The sequence below is a fragment of the Homo sapiens genome, chromosome 1, assembly GCF_000001405.40.
Source record: "Homo sapiens chromosome 1, GRCh38.p14 Primary Assembly".
In the NCBI taxonomy this organism is placed as follows: Eukaryota; Metazoa; Chordata; class Mammalia; order Primates; family Hominidae; genus Homo; species Homo sapiens.
This window is the reverse complement of record NC_000001.11, coordinates 3,167,698-3,185,963: the sequence shown is the minus strand read 5'-3', so window position 1 is coordinate 3,185,963 and position 18,266 is coordinate 3,167,698. Positions and strand designations below refer to the sequence as shown.

The following is an 18,266-nucleotide window of genomic DNA, read 5'->3' as shown; positions in this document are numbered from 1 at the left end:
GCCCTGAGCCCAGCTGCCATCACTCGATGTCAGAGGCTCCAGAGGATGGGATCCTACCAGGCTCCTTTGGGGCCAACATTTCTGATGGGATGGCACAGCCCGACACACCCTGGCTCACCCACCCTGGCTCCCACAGCCACCTGAGGATGCGCCGGGTGGTCCTGCCCTAAGGGAACTAGGGAAGGAGCTGCCTGTGCCTTGCAAGCCTGGGGACAGCCGGTGAAGCCGTCACGCGTGGCGGCTGACCCAGGGCTGGCTGATGGTGAAATATTTGCACCAGAACATTCCAAATGTCCTCTATAGCCTTGGAAATCAGGGACGGCAGAAGTCCTAAGTGCCTGGGAGGACTCAGAGTTTGGGTGAATGTGAAATGTGCTCAGTGCTGCTTCCCTGCACTTGGGCTGCAGCCTGGACATCCCTGCACTTGGGCCGCAGGCTGGACATCCCTGCACTTGGGCCGCAGCCTGGACATCCCTGCACTTGGGCCGCAGCCTGGGCATCCCTGCACTTAGGCCACAGCCTGGACATGCACTGGGGTAGGGCTGGCTGGGTCTTGGGGAGGCTGGTGGAAGTTCCTGATGATCTCGACACAGGCTAGGAACAGGCCTGCTGAGGTCATGGATATCGGACTCATGGGGCCCCAGGTCACTGAACTAAGCAATGAGAGAGTGCCCAGTTTTTCTGTCTGGGATAGGCCTTTGGGGTCCGTCCTAAGAGAGGATGGGTGCCAAGATAGTGTGTGTGTGCAGCCGAAACTATACCAGATTGTAGCCTGAGGCACCAAGGGAGATGGGCAGGGCGAGGAGGAGTCTGGACAGGAAGAAAAGCAAAGCCCTCCACCCAGTGCAGCCAAATCAGGACTCAGGCAGGCGAATGTTCACAGTGGCAGATTCACCATCGCCAGAAGGCAGAAACAGCCCAAATGTCCGTCTGCGAGGGAATGAGGGAACGGATGAGTAGTGGACGGTACCTCCCCTCCCCAAGGAGGAAGGCGGCCTGGACCAGCCTGGGACATGCGGCACTCGGCGTAGGAAGCCGATGCAGAGGGTCACACCTGTGGCACCACCCCTCCCCAAGGAGGAGGGCGGCCCTGGCACGCGCAGCCTGGACCAGCCCCCGACATGCACCACTCGGCATAGGAAGCTGATGCAGAGGGTCACACCTGCTTGGCGGCATTTAGACGACTCATCCAGCACAGGCCCCCAGAGACAGAAGCAGATGGGAGATCTCGGGGACTGGGGTGGGGGTGACAGCGAGAGGCCCAGGTCTCCTTTCGGGGTGATGAGGTGTTTGGAAACTAGAGAGGGGGTGGTCGCACTGCTGGGTGAACGGCTCACTGCCACTGAATCGCCCCCTTTACAGAGGTTGAATTCTGCCTCGATAACATAAAAAAGGCAGGCGCGAGTGTTAGGTGGGGAGCAGCGGGAAGGGACAGGAGGTGGGGTGAGCTCCGTCACCCTGACCTGATCTAGATCTTTCCACGCAAGCCCCTCCTTCTGTGGCTGCCTCGAGGACCCGTGAAAGTGACTGGACCCCGGTCCTGCTGGCCCTCGCCTCCCGGCCCCCGCCCCGCACCCTGTCGTTGGCTGCGGAAACAGAAGCCTCTAAGGAGACCAGAACTTTTAAGTACAGGAAAAATGACTTCAGATTCCTCACACTGGTTGCAAACAGATCAGCACAAGAAGTAGCAAAATGCTTTCTTTCAAAAGAAACCAAAGTCTTGGGGGGAAAAGTCGTAAGGAAAACACTTATTTAATTGATCAGCATTCAGAGAAGTAATTATTATGTTTTAAGTGGCCAACGGGTCCTTTCTAATTGACGCGGCGGATCCTTTCAGAGACGCAGCCACAGAACTGCCGCTGCTGTTCCTCCCCCCTAAAGACCTGAAGTTGTTTAGGTTTGAAAGAACACCCCCATAACCCCCGCCCCGCTGACCGTGTGCAGCAGAAAGGTACATTGGGGGGGGTGGTAATTAACATGGCATCTTGTTATTTGGAACTGGTAACTGCACGGAGCTCGCAAACAAAGTCGGGTTGGAGGCCGAAGCCCCCTCGACGCGCTCCTTAACTCCTCTCGGGCGTGGGCGCCTCTGCCCGAAGGACAAGTAGGAATTAGAACCCCAGGTGTTTCTGGGAGTTCCGCTGGAGCCCGAAGTGGGGCAGCGTCCGCATCAAGTGCATATCCGTTGCAGGGCTCCGTTTAAAACATGGCTTTTTTCTGTTTGAATTCTACTTCCCAAAACCCCTGACCCGCTGGAGGAAAATCAGCGCTTTAAGGGCATGTTTAATTTACTGGCCAAGCAAACAGCTTAGGAGAGAAAGGTAGTGTTTCCTGCTGATTAAAGGCAGGCCTGTGCATTGGGCCCCCGGCCTCCCTTCCCCGGCGGTCACGGGGTTAAGCGATTGCCCACAGCCTCCAGGAAAAACCCGTCTCATTTTGCTGTCCCTGTTGCTGGGGGAGAGGGAGCTCTTCTTTCAAGGGTGGGTGAGAGGAGGGCTAATTCGTGTGCAGAAAACATTTTGAGAAAATGAGGTGCAGAGAACAGCCCTAAAGCCCGGAGAAAGCGGGAAGCCTGCACGGAGGCTCCAGCAGGCCAGGCACAGATCACTCGCTCTCTGGGGTCCCCGGAACAACCGGAGCCGGGAGATCAGAGTCAGCCCTTCTCCACCCTGAGCTCCGGCCAGGATGCCCCCGAGAGGGTCAGCAAGTTCAGGAGGCTGCCCGACCCTCTGCCCTGCTGGACAGGCTTGTTCTGGACGTGGGCATCTTTTCACTGGCCTACCACCCAGGCCTCTGTGACACAGGTGTGCATTTCCAGCAGGCACTCTCTCACAGGTCAGTGTGCAGGGCCAGGATCATGTATGACTTTGGAGATGCAGGCTGGGTAACAGCGTGTGATTGACTTGTCAGGAGACCTGACATCCTTTATTTGGGATTTGCCATGATCTCATTCCAGGGTACTGAGGCCATCATTTCTAGAATTTCTATGGGGAGACCTGTGGAATTATAAAAGCAAGGAGGGGAGTGGGGAGGCAGGGAGCTCGGGAGGGAAGAGGTGGACTTGGCTGGAAGGGAGCTGAGTGACCCCGAGTTGGGGCCAAGGCCACCCCTTTCTGCCGTGAAGCACCTCCCGATCTGCCAGTTCCAGCCGAGTCTATGTGCTTGGGGATCTTCACGGAGAGGCCCTGCTTTGAGTCTTGTCACACACACGTATGAGCGATCGTCATTTGATCGCATAATACAGGTAAGGGAGGTGAAGAAACCCTGCTGCTGCCCCGGGCTGGGACAGAGACCGAGCTGGCTGGGAGCCCACGGTGACCTCTGCCCCTCGCATTGCCCCTGGGCTCCACCACAACCCTTGGTTTAGGGCTGCGTCTATTTCAGCCTTACAGTGGGAGCCTTCAGCACCCCTCACCCAGGCTATAGGAAATGATCCTGGAACAGAGGCCACCCCCACCATCTCCCAAGAGACCCATATCTAGAAAGCAAAGCTATGGCCAGGGTCTTGGGGTCTGGAGAGAGCGAGAGAAGAGGCCACAGATCAGGACCACTGTGCTAAACCGGCCAGGACAGGAGCCCAACAGCCAACAGGGGATCCCTCACCACCGTCCACCTGCCAGGGCCACACGAGCAGTGCCCTCAGAGGGGGATTACCAACACGACGACCCCTTCCCCGCAGCCCGAGCGCCGAGCGGCTCTGTGTCAGGGATGGGCAGATTTCAGCCTAGATTCTTGGCCAGAGGGAGTACAAGGGGGTTTTTCGGAGTCGGTATCTGCCTGGCTGTGCTTCCTCCTTCATCATGTGGTTTTAAAGAGAAGCCATGAGGCCTGCAGGCCCCACTGGGCAGGAAAGAGGCACCGTGTGGTGGCTGGCAGGGAAGGGCGGCCCCCAGAGTGCGTGTGAATGTGAGCATCCCATGAGTATCCGTGTGTAAGCATGTGTAAGACAGTGTGTGTAAGCATGTGACTGCATGTGTAAGCATGTGACTGCATGTGTAAGGCATGTGTAAGACTGTGTGTGTAAGCATGTGTAAGACCATGTGTAAGACTGCGTGTGTAAGACCGTGTGTAAGACTGCGTGTGCAAGACCGTGTGTAAGACTGCGTGTGTAAGACCGTGTGTAAGACTGAATGTGTAAGACCGCATGTGTAAGACCGTGTGTAAGACTGCATGTGTAAGACTGCATGTGTAAGACTGTGTGTAAGACCGTGTGTAAGACTCCGTGTGTAAGACCGTGTGTAAGACTGCGTGTGTAAGACCGTGTGTAAGACCGTGTGTAAGACTGCGCGTGTAAGACTGTGTAAGACCGTGTGTAAGACCGTGTGTAAGACTGCATGTGTAAGACCGTGTGTAAGACTGCATGTGTAAGACCATATGTAAGACCGTGTGTAAGACTGCGTGTGTAAGACTGCGTGTGTAAGACCGTGTGTAAGACCGCTTGTGTAAGACTGCGTGTGTAAGACCATGCGTAAGGCTGTGTGTAAGACTGCGTGTGTAAGACCGTGTGTAAGACCGTGTAAGACTGCTTGTGTAAGACCGCGTGTGTAAGACTGCGTGTGTAAGACCATGCGTAAGGCCGTGTGTAAGACTGCGTGTGTAAGACCGTGTGTAAGACCGTGTGTAAGACTGCTTGTGTAAGATTGCGTGTGTAAGACCGTGTGTAAGACTGCGTGTGTAAGACCATGCGTAAGGCCGTGTGTAAGACTGCGTGTGTAAGACTGTGTGTAAGACCGTGTGTAAGACTGCGTGTGTAAGACCGTGTGTAAGACCGTAAGACTGCGTGTGTAAGACCGTAAGACCGCGTGTAAGACTGCGTGTGTAAGACCGCGTGTAAGACTGCGTGTGTAAGGCCGCGTGTAAGACTGCGTGTGTAAGGCCGTGTGTAAGACCGGGTGTGTAAGACCGCGTGTAAGACTGCGTGTGTAAGACCGCGTGTAAGACCGCATTTGTAAGACCGCGTGTAAGATCGTGTGTAAGACTGCGTGTGTAAGACCGAGTGTGTAAGACTGCGTGTGTAAGGCTGCGTGTGTGGCTGCGTGTGTAAGGCTGCGTGTAAGACTGCGTGTGTGAGGCCGTGTGTAAGACTGCGTGTGTAAGGCCGTGCGTAAGACTGCGTGTGTAAGCAGAGGGCCCTGTTGGGAACCTGAAAAGGTGTCCAGGGCAACCTCAGCTGACCCCAGCCTCTATGCGGCCTCTGGGTTGGGAAACGCTGTTTCTCTTCTGTCTGGAGACCCCTCAGGAGGAAGGGTCTCCCGTCTGCTGGGTGAGGGGCTGAAGTTCGGGCCCCCTTGCCTCCCTCCCTCAAGGGCAAGGCAGCGAATGGCGCTCGGCTGCCCCGGGCTGCCCTCGTCTAGGCCCCATGCGGGTTCCCTGGGGGCCTCCTGATGCTGGCCTGGGTCTTTACTTTTGCGGCCCTCGGGCCCTGTGGGGACTCGGTCCCACCCAGCTGCACACCTCTCTATGGGGCCAAGATGTGGTCCTGGAGATGCCCAAGATGGGACCCACCGGGAGAAACTGCGCCAAGGGCAGGCTGGCCTCTACGCGGCGTTTCTTACAACTGCACACCCAGCCACGTGATTTCAAGGAACATTTCAGTGGAAAGAACACCCACTCCAAAAATCTACGGTTCCTCACTCCACCTGTGTGTACGTGGATGTGTGATTACTTCAGGCCTGTGAGTTTACAGCAGAACATACTTCATGATTCCTGCCCGGCTCCGAGATACCTTGTCTTGGCCTGGGGGGTGGGAGGAGCTGCTTAAAACAAACAAGCAAACAAACAAAAACAAAAAACAAAAAACAGAAACAACAGAAATAACTGTGGAGGGTGGCAGTAGGTGCTTCTGATCAACCTGAGAAACACGAGGGAATCCTTTGCTGTGCAGTTCCCTGAAATGTCACATTTCAGAAAACCTAAGGTCAAAAGTATGAGACGGAAGGGACAGGAAAGTCCAGGGATAACGATTCTGCGCTGCAGACCACCAAGAACCTTGTCATTCGTTAATGTCTTTGTCATGATGGAGCAAACAAATCCGGTGGCAGCCTGGGGAAGGTCCACCGTGATAGGAACAGGGACCCGGGAAAGCAGGGGTGACCCACACTCAGGCCACAGATCTCTGGGCTTTGGGAACCGTCTCTCTAACCAGAAAAGCTTGTACGAGATCACTCGGGGCCGGATCACCTTGGAATCTTCCACACCCTCCAAGGAGGCTAGTGCCTGGTGAGCAGGGCAAGGCGGAGGCCAGCGAGGTGCCAGGATGCAGGTGCCCGGCCTTGAGAGCGGGCGGCCCCTTCAATCTGCACCACGGTGCCATGCGGGCCTGCTGGGTTGGCAGCCGGGTGGGCACTCGGGGGCCCTTTTCTCTCCCTCATGCTGCCTGATGGATCTGCCACCCCACAGCAGGTTTCTCAGCCTGTTTCCAGGTGTTGGGACGGATGTGATGTCACAGCCTCTCAGGTGCCCGCATCCAGCCATGTGGACCAAGCAGTGAGTGGCTCTGGAAGGAGGGTGTGCTCCTCCCTCAGGGGAGCTGCCCACTGTACAGCTGGGGAAACAGAGGCACAGGGGGGTGAAGGAGCCTGTCATCCCCCAGTGAGGGGCTGAGGGCTGGAACCACACCCACTCCTGAGTCCACGCTCCCTGCCCCTGACACCCAGCCTGTCCATGCCCTGGGGCACAAGCGCTCTGACCCCAGTCCTGGCCCTGCTGGCCTCTCTGCCTCACCCTAGTCCAGGCGGAGCCCTCTTATTTTGGTTGGGATCGGCTACACATTCCCCACAACCATCAGGCAGAGAAGTCCAGAGCAGAGAGAATATGTGTGGTGGGCGCCATATGGGCACTTTCAAAACCGGGGAGAGCCCTGGATGGGGTTTGTCTGAGTTCCTCCAAGGCCCTGACAGTAACATCAGGCCTCAAGGCCCGTGAAAGGTGCAGCATCGGGTCACCCCCTTCTCTAAACCCGCAGGGCCAGGGCCAGCCCAAGGGAAGGGCTGGGCAAGGTGTTTGGAGCGAGGTGGGACCGGAAGGTTTTAGAGGTTGGGTGGACCCGGCTGTGGGTTTCAGCCCCTGTGGCTCAGGAGTCTGAGTGGAGTCCCCGCCAGCAGCCCCTGCATCCCCTGAGGACTTGCTAGACCTGTAATTCACAGGTCCACCCAGGCCCACTGACCTGGGGCGGGGCTGGTGTGTGCAGGCAATCGGTGCTTCAGCAAAGCCTCCAGGAGGGGTGCCCTCAAGGAGCAGGGCCCTCGAGTTTGGGAAGTGGGTGGTGGGGACAGATGGGGAAGTGCTGAGTGACAAGGGTGCATCCTGGGGGAAACAGGGTTTAACAGAGGGAACTAGGCTTTTCTAAAATGTCGAGAAGATCGCTCTGAAAATGTGGACTGAAACCCTTATTGACCCTGAGGTTTTTCAAGTTAAGTACACACGTTTGCCACCCAGGCGGAGAAAAGCAAGCGGCAGCCTCCAGGAGCCCCGGCCTCCGGGAGAACAGCAGCTGGGCTGCAAAGCACTTTTCCCATCCAAAGCCTTCCCAGGAAGACGTGGCTGTTAAAGAACCACCTCTCCGCAGAGCTCGGTTCTGGGTTTGGGGCTGTGCGGAGGTGAGGGAGGCAGACGGAAGCCTGCGGGAGGGAGGGGAGATTCGCCAAGAATTTCAGAAGGACTGTGTTCGAGACGCCCCTTACCTGTCTGTGTAGATGTGGCCTCCAAAAGCTTCAAGTCTAAAGCTGCCCCTGCAACTGCTTTCTCTCATGAAAGGCGTTTTTTTATTGGGTGTGAGGGGACCAAACCCTTGCCGTCTTATTGCCACGTGCTCCTCATCGTCCCTAATATCGCTGGCAGGGGGAGGATCCACTCCTCAGCTCGCCAAACACCGGGCCATCATTCTTGTAAAACCCAGCCATGGCCGAGCCTTGCAAGTCTGTTTTTAACTTCAGTCTCCTGCCCAGAGGCAGCAAGACGCCGCGGCCTGGCGTCTGCCAGAAGGGTCTTCCTGCTCCAAGGAGCTGTGCTGGCCTGCTCTGAAAGAGGCAGGACCCAGCACGAGGCAGCTCTTCCCCAAAGGCCACCTCGAGATGTGAACGCCTGAGGTTGCATTCAGTCTCACCTGGCCCATCCAAAACAGTATCTAAACTTACTGATCAGTTCAGGCCAACATATAAATGCAATTACAAAGGGAGGCAAAACTTCAGGACAGAGAACGCCTCCATCACAACTCCAAGACTGTGAGGAAACATGGTCCCTGGTTGACCACACAGCTGTTCGATTCTAGAATGATTCCAGGAGCAACTTTGGAGCAATCAGCCTCTAATCAGACAATAGAGCACTGACGTTGGCTCGCTCTCCTGGGGACTGGCCGGCTGCTGATATTGACTGGGCCGCGGAGCATGCAGCCGGCACTGTGGTCCAGCTCATTCTTGCAGCAGCCCTGGAGGGAAGGTGGAGTTGTGACCTCACCCAGTTTATACATCAAAGAAGTGAAGCTCAGAGAGTGAGCAACTTGCTCAATGCCACACAGCTAGTCAGGAACGAGCTGGGAGATGTTCAAACAGTCTTGATTTCGAAGCTTCTCAAACGCCACTCTAACGACCCCGTGTTCTCCCTACAATGACAAAACACCTGAAACAGTTTCCTGGCAGTCAGTAAGGGCCTTCGTCATGTCCAGCAGAAGAGGTATGGGTGGGAGTGTGAATAGATGCTTGATAGATGGATGGAGAGATAAATAGCTGAATGGATGGGTGGGTGGGTGGATGAATTTACGAATGGATGGAAAGATTGATAGATGGGTGAATAGATGAATAGATGGATGAGTGAATGGATGGGTTGGTGGATGGGTGAATGAATGGAAGATGGTGGATGAATACATAGATAAGTGGATGAATGGATAAGTGTATAGATACATGAGTGGATGGATGAGTTAACAGATGGATGAGGGGATGGATGGATGGATTAGTGGATGGAAGGAAAAATGGATGGATGAGTGCTGGATGGGTTAATGGATGGATGAATGAATGAATGGGTATGTGAATGAATGGGTGGATGGATGAGTGGATAGATGGGTGGATGGATGGTTAGACGGAAGGAAGGAAGAATGGATAGATGAATGAGTGCATGGATGGGTTAATGAATGAATGGATGAATGGATGGGTGGGTGAATCAAGGGGTGGATAGATGGATGGATTTATAAGGGGATGGATGGATGGAGGGATGGATGGAAGAATAGATGGATGGATGGATGGATGGATGGATGGATGGATAGATGGACAGATGGTGGATGAATGCATAGATAGGTGAATGAATGGCTGGATGGATAGATGAGGGGATAGATGGGTACATGGATGGATGGATAGATGAATGGATGATGGATGGATGGACAGAAGGAAGGAAGAATGGATAAATGAATGAGTGCATGGATGGGTTAATGAGTGAATGGATGAATGGATGGGTGGGTGAATCAATGGGTGGGTGGATGGATGGATGGATGCAGCCTGGTGTCTGCCAGAAGGGTCTTCCTGCTCTGAGGAGCTGTGCTGCCCTGCTCTGAAAGAGGCAGGACCCAGCATGAGGCAGCTCTTCCCCAAAGGCCACCTCAAGGTGTGAATGCCTCCAGGAGAACAGGGGATGAATGGATGGAGGGATGGATGGAAGAATAGATGGATGTATGGACAGATGGATAGATGGATGGATGGATGGATGGATGGACAGATGGTGGATGAATGCATAGATAGGTGGATGAATGGCTTGGTGGATAGATGAGGGGATAGATGGGTAAATGGATGGATGGATAGATGGATGGATGGATGGATGGATGGATAGATGAATGAGTGCATGGATGGGTTAATGAAGGAATGGATGAATGGATGGGTAGGTGAATCAATGGGTGGATGGATGGATGGATGGATGGTTGGATGGATGGATGAGGGGATGGATGGGTGGATAGATTTATAAGGGGATGGCTGGCTGGCTGGCTGGCTGGCTGGCTGCATGGATGGATGGGTGAGTGAGTGGATGGATGGATGGGGTAAGGGCAACCTCCAGGGCAGTTTCCAACAGAAGAGGTAGAAGGCAGGAGCCTCACTCCCACTTCTGACTTTCCTTCCCTAGCCGTGAAGCTCCATTAACACAACCCTGGCTCCTCTCTGCCCTTGACCCTGATCGGCTCATCTGAGAGGAACGTCTGGGCTTTCTCAGCCAGGCCCTGCCTCGGAGAAAGGGCTGGTTTCTCTGCTGCTTCTTCAGGGCTGACCGGCTGTCACCCTCCCTGCACCCATGTGGCGGGTGGGCAGGTCTGAGTTCTGGGACTTGGCCGGAGCTGTGCCTGGCTCCACGGGACTGCAGCTTCCACCTGAGGCTTGTTGGGGCCCCATCCTCTGGCTCCTCTTTTCCTTCTCAGAACCAAGCAGGGAGGAGTGCTGTGTAGTGGGTCAGAGACCTGGAGAATGTTCCCCCAACTGGGTGCCTATGAGTCCCCATGAGCAGTGAAGGGCCATCCTGCCCCCTGAACAAAACAGGGAGAGGGAGAGGTGGGCGCATCAGGCAGGCTGTGGTTGTGGGAGAGCTGATCGGGGAGAGCAGGCACGCACGGAGGCAACTTCTAGAGAAAAAATAGGGTGTTCCCATTCCTCACAGAGGATTCTGTACACCTACATCTCTGCCGAGTATACCCTGGTGAACAGAAGGCCCTTCTTCAGTGGGAGGGCTCCTGGAGCGGCAGGGTCATCCTGAAGGCCCCTTCCCAAAAACAGTTTGCTAGAAAGAGAAACTTGGGAACTGATGGAGTTCTATCTTGTTCTTCTGTCTTTAAAACTGTGCGGTAAAGGCAATAGCTTCTCCCCTCGCCCTGGATCTTGGCTTTGAGACAAGAACAAAGCTGTCGTAACTCCAGGAAATGGTGCTAGGAGGAGCCTTGGCCGCTGGTCCCACCTTCTGACCAGCCCGGGACCGCGGCTGCCCTGCGGCACTGGGACTCATTGGCATTCCCCTTCTGAGCGTCTGTGCCCAGAACCAAGCGGCCGCTATTAACACAGCAGATTGATAGCACTGAGAAAGCCGTTTCTGCAAACATGCTAAATATTAATATGATCAATTGCCGTTTCTATCTCAAACCTGCACCCGGGACCTGGCCCACAGAGACTGGGGAACGTTGAACCCCAGCTGCAGGGCTGATGAAGCCGAATTGTCATTAGGGCCCGGGAGAGCCTGGGAAGACGGAGCCCTGACCTCAGAGACAGGCTCCCAGCCCTCTTGGAGCCACCGAAGCACAGAAATTTCCCCAGCAAAGAGGTGGGGCTTCCTGCCTTATCTCCCCAATCCTGACCAGATGCAAACCCCCAGCCTGGCTACCTTCACACACACTCGCCTTTGTCGCAGACACGGAGGGAGGCAGGGACAGTCCACAGTGCTGCCTTCACTTTAGAGATGAAGGAAGCAGATTGAGACCCACTCCAGGGCTTGTCCAGGTCACACAGCAGGCAAGCACAGACCCTGCCCTTCTGACTCAGGGAGTCTCCACCAGCCCCCACTGTCACCCAGGCTGGCCAGCGGCTCCCAAGACTGTAACCAGTTGAATGATGTCACCCCAAAAGGTGCATTCAAGCCCTAACCCCCAGGCCTCAGAATGTGACCTGATTCGGAAATAAGGTCTTTATAGTGGTAATCAAGTTCAGGTGAGGTCACTAGGGAGGGCCCTAATTCAATGGGACTGATGTCCTTATAGGACAAGGAGAAGGACACAGAGACATGCCCAGGTGACACCCATATGATGACAGAGGCAGGGATTTGCCCCGAGCCAAGGAATGCCTGGAGCCACCAGAAGCTGGGAGAGGTGAGCGGGGACTCTTCCCCTAGGACCTCCAGAGGGAACAAGACCCTGTCCACAGCCTGGCTTTGTGTCTCTGGCCTCCGGAGTAGGAGCACACCCTTCGGTTGTTTCAGTCCATCCAGTTTGTGCTCTTTCGTTAAAGCAGACCCAAGACACTCACACAAAGACCAAAGCGACCATAGCACGGGCCATAGCACGGGCCCGGCCGAGAACACATGACCCTCCTTGCCAGCCCCTCTGGCTGTAACGTGCTCCTGGTGCCCTGAAGCAGGTTGTTGGCCCCCTTCTCTCAGAGGAAGAACAAAGGCTTTGCACCGGGAGCATAAACCACCCAGAGGAACCGCATTGCTGAGCACGGAGCCTCGGCCCCATGACAGCCTGGAGGATGTGTGACTGCCATTCACCCCACCAGGGGCCGGCCCTGAAGCTCGGAGAGAAGCACATCCGCTGCCAAGGGGAAGGGCAAACAGCCCCAGCCTCTGCGCAGCCCACGCCTCTGGGGCAGGCGGGTGGGCCTGGCTGCGCTGCACAGACCACCACAAAGTCCCACTGGGGTCCACGAAGCCACTGCCCACGAACGCCCCTCCCAGCCCCTGGAATCTCCCCTGACCAGCCGAGCTGAATCTGGCCCTCACGCAGGGCCACGGAGGCCTCTGTCGGGCAGCTCAGGCCACCTGGCCCTACCTAAAGCCGATGCATTATTCTAAGACGATTATTTATCCGTGCAATGCTCCGGGGACAGCAGCGTTCCCATTTCAGAGCCCGCATCCTGTATTTCCTCGCCGCCTCCATCGCCCCGGGCAGGCGCTGAATGACTCGCGATGCCACTGTCATTTTTATAAAGCCTTGTTCCGGGTAAAAAGCCTCTTTGTTTCAGAGAGATGTGATTTGGCCTTTTTTCTTCCTCTCCTTTATTCCTTGGTTAATATACCACTTCCCTGAGCCCCGGGGGCAGCAAGGTAGCCACGGATTGCTCACATCTCACTGTTTCCCTCCTGAATCACAGCCGAGGCTCCCTGGCCCTGCGCTAAGCAGCATCTGGGCGGCAGCAGAGCGGGGTGCCTCTCCTTAACCCTTCACTGTGCATGCACTGGACCCCTCAAATACCAGGCGGTGTTGGCTCCAAGCACTAGCTCCACGAGCTAAGATCTGGCATCGTGACAGCGTGCTTCTAGAAAGACTGTGGGCAGATACATGTAACATCAAATGTATCATTTCAGTCATTGTTCAGCGCACAGCTCAGTGGCATTAAGCACATTCATGCTGTGCGCTGCCTTCAGTCACCACCACCCATCTCCAGAACTCCTGCATCTCCCCAGAGAGAAAGTCTACCCCACAGACACTCTCCATCCCCTCCCCCAGCCCCGGCAGCCACCATTCTACTTTCCGTCTCTATGCATGTGATAACTCTAGGGACCTCCCGTAAGTGGGATCCTACACTATTGCCCTTTCACAGCCGGCTTACTTAGCTTAGCACAAGGTCCTCAAGTTTCCTCCAGGTGGTGGCGTGTGTCGCCGTTTCCTTCCTTTTGAGGGCTAATAGTCCAGGCATGTGGGTGCCGCCTTTGGCTTGTCTCTTCATCTGTGGATGGACACTGTGGTGTGTCCACATTTTAGCTACAGTGAAGCACACGCCACTGTGGGAAGCACGTGTGAACATGCGTGTGCCGTCTGAATCTACGGCGTGCTCTTAGCATCAACAAAACCCAGGCTATTCCACCCAAGTGAAACGAGGCTCCTGTCAGCAGCCCCACTGCCCAGATCTCAGGGTCTCTGGAAAGCAGGTAAGGTTGACTTCCCCCACCACCCTGGTTGACTCTCATTCCTATAGGCAAGGACAGGGTCTCCTTCCAGCCTCTGTACCTTGGGAGTGGGGTAAAGCCACTTCCACCTTCTGGACCTCAGCCTCCTCCTCTGTAAAACAGGCACGAATCCAACCGGGAAGACCGTGGGGGACGTTCAGAGCCGTATGCCCTGCCCCTCACCTGCATGTGAGTGGGTGATTCTGTTCTCAACTCCTTCTCCACCCTGATTGCTAGGTGGCCCCCACACCTAGGGCAGCTGGCTTGGCAGCCGGCAGGGCCCACAGCAGCATAAGGACATCGTGGAGCCGTTGAGTACCTCACAGCCTCCCGCTGGGCCCAGGGATGCTCCTTCAGCACCGGGGACCCCGTTCTACTGGATCGCAGCTCCCCCGGTGGCGCGGAGGCCGGGGGGCTTGCACCTGGAGCTCGGCTCGCTGCTCCAGGACTTTGTGCTCGGGAGGCGCCTGATCCAAGCAGGGCGACAAGAGGTTCTGGCTGGTGGAGGGCCCGGGTGGCCACAGAGACGAGGGTCACCTCTCACCCGGAGGCTTCCTCAGGCTCTTCCTGGAGGCTCAGCCAGGTGCTTAGGTGTTCTGGAGTCCTGGGGTCCTTCCAGAAAGAGGAAGGAAAGGTTCCATGGAGCCAACCAGAACCCAGAAGGGGCCTGGGCTTGCCAGCCCGAGGAGGGCAGGACAGGAGCCAGCTCAGCTCGTGGCCAGAGCAGATTTGGGGAAGGGCCCCCCAATACACACAGCTGTGTTTCTGCAAACTCGGAGGCTGTAAGTGGGATACCGAGGGCAGAGGAAGGGATGGCCAGTGACCCTGGGATGGCCACCTCTGCCAGCTGCCAGAGCACCTGCGGCACTGAGGGTTTGGAGGGGGTTGCAATCAAGGCCAGCGTCCTCGCAGGAGGCTCTGCAGGCCAGGCCACCCGAGGACAAAGTGCACTCAGCCAGGGCTCGTTCAGAAAAGAAAACACACTCGGAGATTTCTGTTCTCTGCTTCCCTTTCCCTGGCTCTGCCCGGACAGCGAGGAGGAGGAACAAGGGGTTAAATGCTGAGCAAGCGCCGTAACAGCCGACCGCCACCAAACTATTTATAGACTTATTTATCTCTTTAGTTCCTACCAACTGGGCCTGTGGCTGCCGTGCACAGGCCAGAGCAAGTCACGCCGCAAGTAAACAAACGTGGCCCCGAAATAAAAATCGCAAGAGGGAGAGAGGGCCCCGAGCACTGTCAGTCTGGAAGGTGCAGGTCTCCGTGGGGCGCTGAGGGGTGCGGGGTCCCGCTGGGACAGGGGTGCCCCTATCCCAGCCTTCCCTTAGGGACTGCAGCGAGGCTGTGTGGGCTCTCTAGCCAAGACGGGCTGGGGAGGACAGCCTCGTTTGGGCTGGCGCCATCAGCCCGAGCTCTGGGAGCTGAAACACACGTTTCCCCGGTGGCCTGCCTCCACCGTGGCTGCTGCAGACAGAGAAGGCCATGGGCTCCCGACAGCCCTGGCTGCTGGGATGAAAACTGGGGGTTTGCATCATGGGGTGGGGAGGGCACTGTCCATGTCCGTGTGCCTCCAGCCCTGGTGACGGGAGCGGCCAGGACAGCTTTGTTGCCAATGGTGGGTGCAGGCCCTCCCTTCCCCTGCTCCCCCGGGCCCCGCCTCCTCTGGGCACAGAGGCGGGCTGGCTCACTGCCCTGGCCTGGCCTCCCACCAGAGTGGGGGTGGGGAGCTGCGGAGGCTGAGGCCTTTGAGGCCTGACTCCCCGCCCCTCGCAGCCAGGGCAGGGTCTGGGGGCCACCCAGATGCTCCTAGGGAAACTGGTGCCACCTTGGGCTCCGGCTCTCGGGGCCAGGAGGACCCTCCCTGGATAAACTCATTGCCCAGCACCTGGTCCTAATCCACTCGGCTCTGCTCCCTAATTCCCACCCACATGGTGATGGGGCTGCAGTGGAGGGGTGGGGAGAGCAGCCTGAAGGTGCTCCCATCACCCTCAGGTCCAGAGAGCCTGGGACAGCTGCAGCCCCTCTCTGGAAGCCTCACCCCTTCAGGCCTGGAGCGGGGGATCTCTGCACCCCCACCCCGGAAGGGCCTGCAGGCACTCCTGGGGGAAGCAGCCAGGCTGCAGGTGCAGGGCCACCCTGGCCCCCTGGCCGCACTTGCCCTGATGAAGACGTTCATAGTTTTAACCACGGAATCAAGAACTTAACCCTTCCCAGCCCGTCCGCGCTCAGCTGCCCTCAGATTCATTTAGCAGGCCAGCGGCGAGGAAAAAAGAAAGAAAAAAAAAATTCATTAATTTTTATTAACAGGGAGAGCCATTTGTTCCCTGTGACAATATTTGACTTGTCGAAATGATTTTCACCTCTGCCACGAGGTGTGCACAGTCCACATACATCACCCGATTACTCGGAGCGCGCGGGCCGCGGTCATTAGGCAGTGAATTAACGACAGTCCCCCCGCTATTAATCACCCTGACAAAGGCGTTAGCTCGCCGCTGACCCGAGCGTGGCCCATGGACACGGCAGCCAGGGGAGAGGGCCCGAGGCTCGGGGGGAACCAGGGGCTGCGGGGGAGCCCAGCCCTTCCCCACCTGCCCCTTCAAGATCCTGATGGCGTACAGGAGCCAGAGACGGTGGAAGTGGTGCAGGCCCTTGCGGGTGTTGGGGGGCCCGTGGGGGGCGGGCTCTGTTTTTTTTTCTTTAATCGTTTGTTTTCCTCTGTCAGCCTCTTTGTTGAGGAGGTGACAGGGATACTCTGCCCCTCAGCAACAACCCCGGGACCTGGCCTGTTATTATCTCCATTTTATGGATCAGGAAACTGAGGCACAGAGAAGCCAGCACATGCCCCAGGCTGTGCACGGGAGAGGGGTGGGGCTCAAACCCCAGGCCAACAAGCCCCTCGGCCTGCACTCCCACCCCTGTGTGGTATCTTCCAACCCCCGGCCCTGAGGAGAGTCGCTAGGGACGGGGCTCCCATGGCAACCGTAGGGTGTTTCCCTGAGCTCTGGGTCAGCCTCAGGAGTGTTTTCTAACCCTAGGGATTCAGGGTGGTGGGGGCCGGATGGAAGGGCCTTAGGAATCACATTTTTATGAGGTTTGTTTCTTCCCGAGGTTCCAAACCATGGGTTTTGTTGAAAAGAAACAGTAGAAAATCCACACAATACCTCCATGGGCCCATTTAGCATCAGGGCCAGCTGAGGCTCAGAAAGTGTCCAGGGCCACACACCACACTTGTCACAAGCCTTCCAAGTAGAGGCTGGAGACCGCAGCAGCGGCACAGCACAGGGTCTCAGGACGTCCCTCTTACAGGGGTGGGGAGGCTTCTGTTGGACTCATCAGCCTACAGGTTACAGCCCCATGTCCCCTTGCACTGGTCCTGAACCTGCACCCTGGGCGTGGCCACAGGGGTCAGCTCAGGTGGGAGGGGGTGTGGGCAGCAACCACCTGGCTCCAGGAGTAGGCTCGGTAGGCCAGAGCTTCTCATCTGCAGAAGTGGAACGACAGTGGCCACCTGGCAGGGTCCTTCTGAGCATTCCAGGAAATGATGTTGGCAGAGCACTTTCCATGGGCCGGGCAGGTGGCAGGTGGCCCGGGAAACACGGGCCCCCACTCCCTCCTCATTCCCTGACATACTTTAACCATTTTTTGCACATTAATCCAATTAATCACCTTTACATTTTAAAGCAATTTCTTTGCATTAACTTAGGCATCAGATCTGTATTTCGGTCTGATCTAAACCAGGGTATGAAAGGGCGAGGGGCGGGGGTGGGGCGGGAATAGCTGCGGGTCCATTTGTCTTCTTTCTCCGGACTTCTCATTTTTTATGCCTCAGCAAATTTCCTGATTTTCCTCATTAGCAACTAATTTACAAGTCTCAACAATCTTTCCACCTGTTCCTTCCACCGCGGGGGTTGTAAGATTGGAAAGAGCCACTTGCTCACTTGTGTGATGCTGGTTCCAGGGGTTCCAGAAAACCAGGCAGGGGTGGGGCAGGAGGATGGCTGCATGGGAACGGGGGCGATGCCACAGAGGCACTGGGAGGCAGGGGTGGGGCGGGAGGATGGCAGGAGTGGGGGCGATGCCACAGAGGCGCTGGGAGGCAGGGGTGGGGCGGGAGGATGGCAGGAGCGGGGGCGATGCCACAGAGGCACTGGGAGGCAGGGGTGGGGTGGGAGGATGGCAGGAGCGGGGGCGATGCCACAGAGGCACTGGGAGGCAGGGGTGGGGCGGGAGGATGGCAGGAGCAGGGGGGCAATGTCACAGAGGCGCTGGGAGGCAGGGGTGGGGCGGGAGGATGGCAGGAGCGGGGGCGATGCCACAGAGGCGCTGGGAGGCAGGGGTGGGGTGGGAGGATGGCAGGAGCAGGGGGGCAATGTCACAGAGGCGCTGGGAGGCAGGGGTGGGGCGGGAGGATGGCAGGAGCGGGGGCGATGCCACAGAGGCGCTGGGAGGCAGGGGTGGGGCGGGAGGATGGCAGGAGCGGGGGCGATGCCACAGAGGCGCTGGGAGGCAGGGGTGGGGCGGGAGGATGGCAGGAGCAGGGGGGCAATGTCACAGAGGCGCTGGGAGGCAGGGGTGGGGTGGGAGGATGGCAGGAGCAGGGGGGCAATGTCACAGAGGCGCTGGGAGGCAGGGGTGGGGTGGGAGGA

General features: G+C 57.0%; 1 protein-coding gene across 2 annotated transcripts in view; it reads right to left on the bottom strand.

Annotated features, from left to right (window-relative positions):
• Positions 1-18,266, bottom strand: part of PRDM16 (PR/SET domain 16) — a 369,419-nt gene that overhangs the window by 252,658 nt on the left and 98,495 nt on the right. The gene's annotated exons all lie outside the window — the stretch shown is intronic.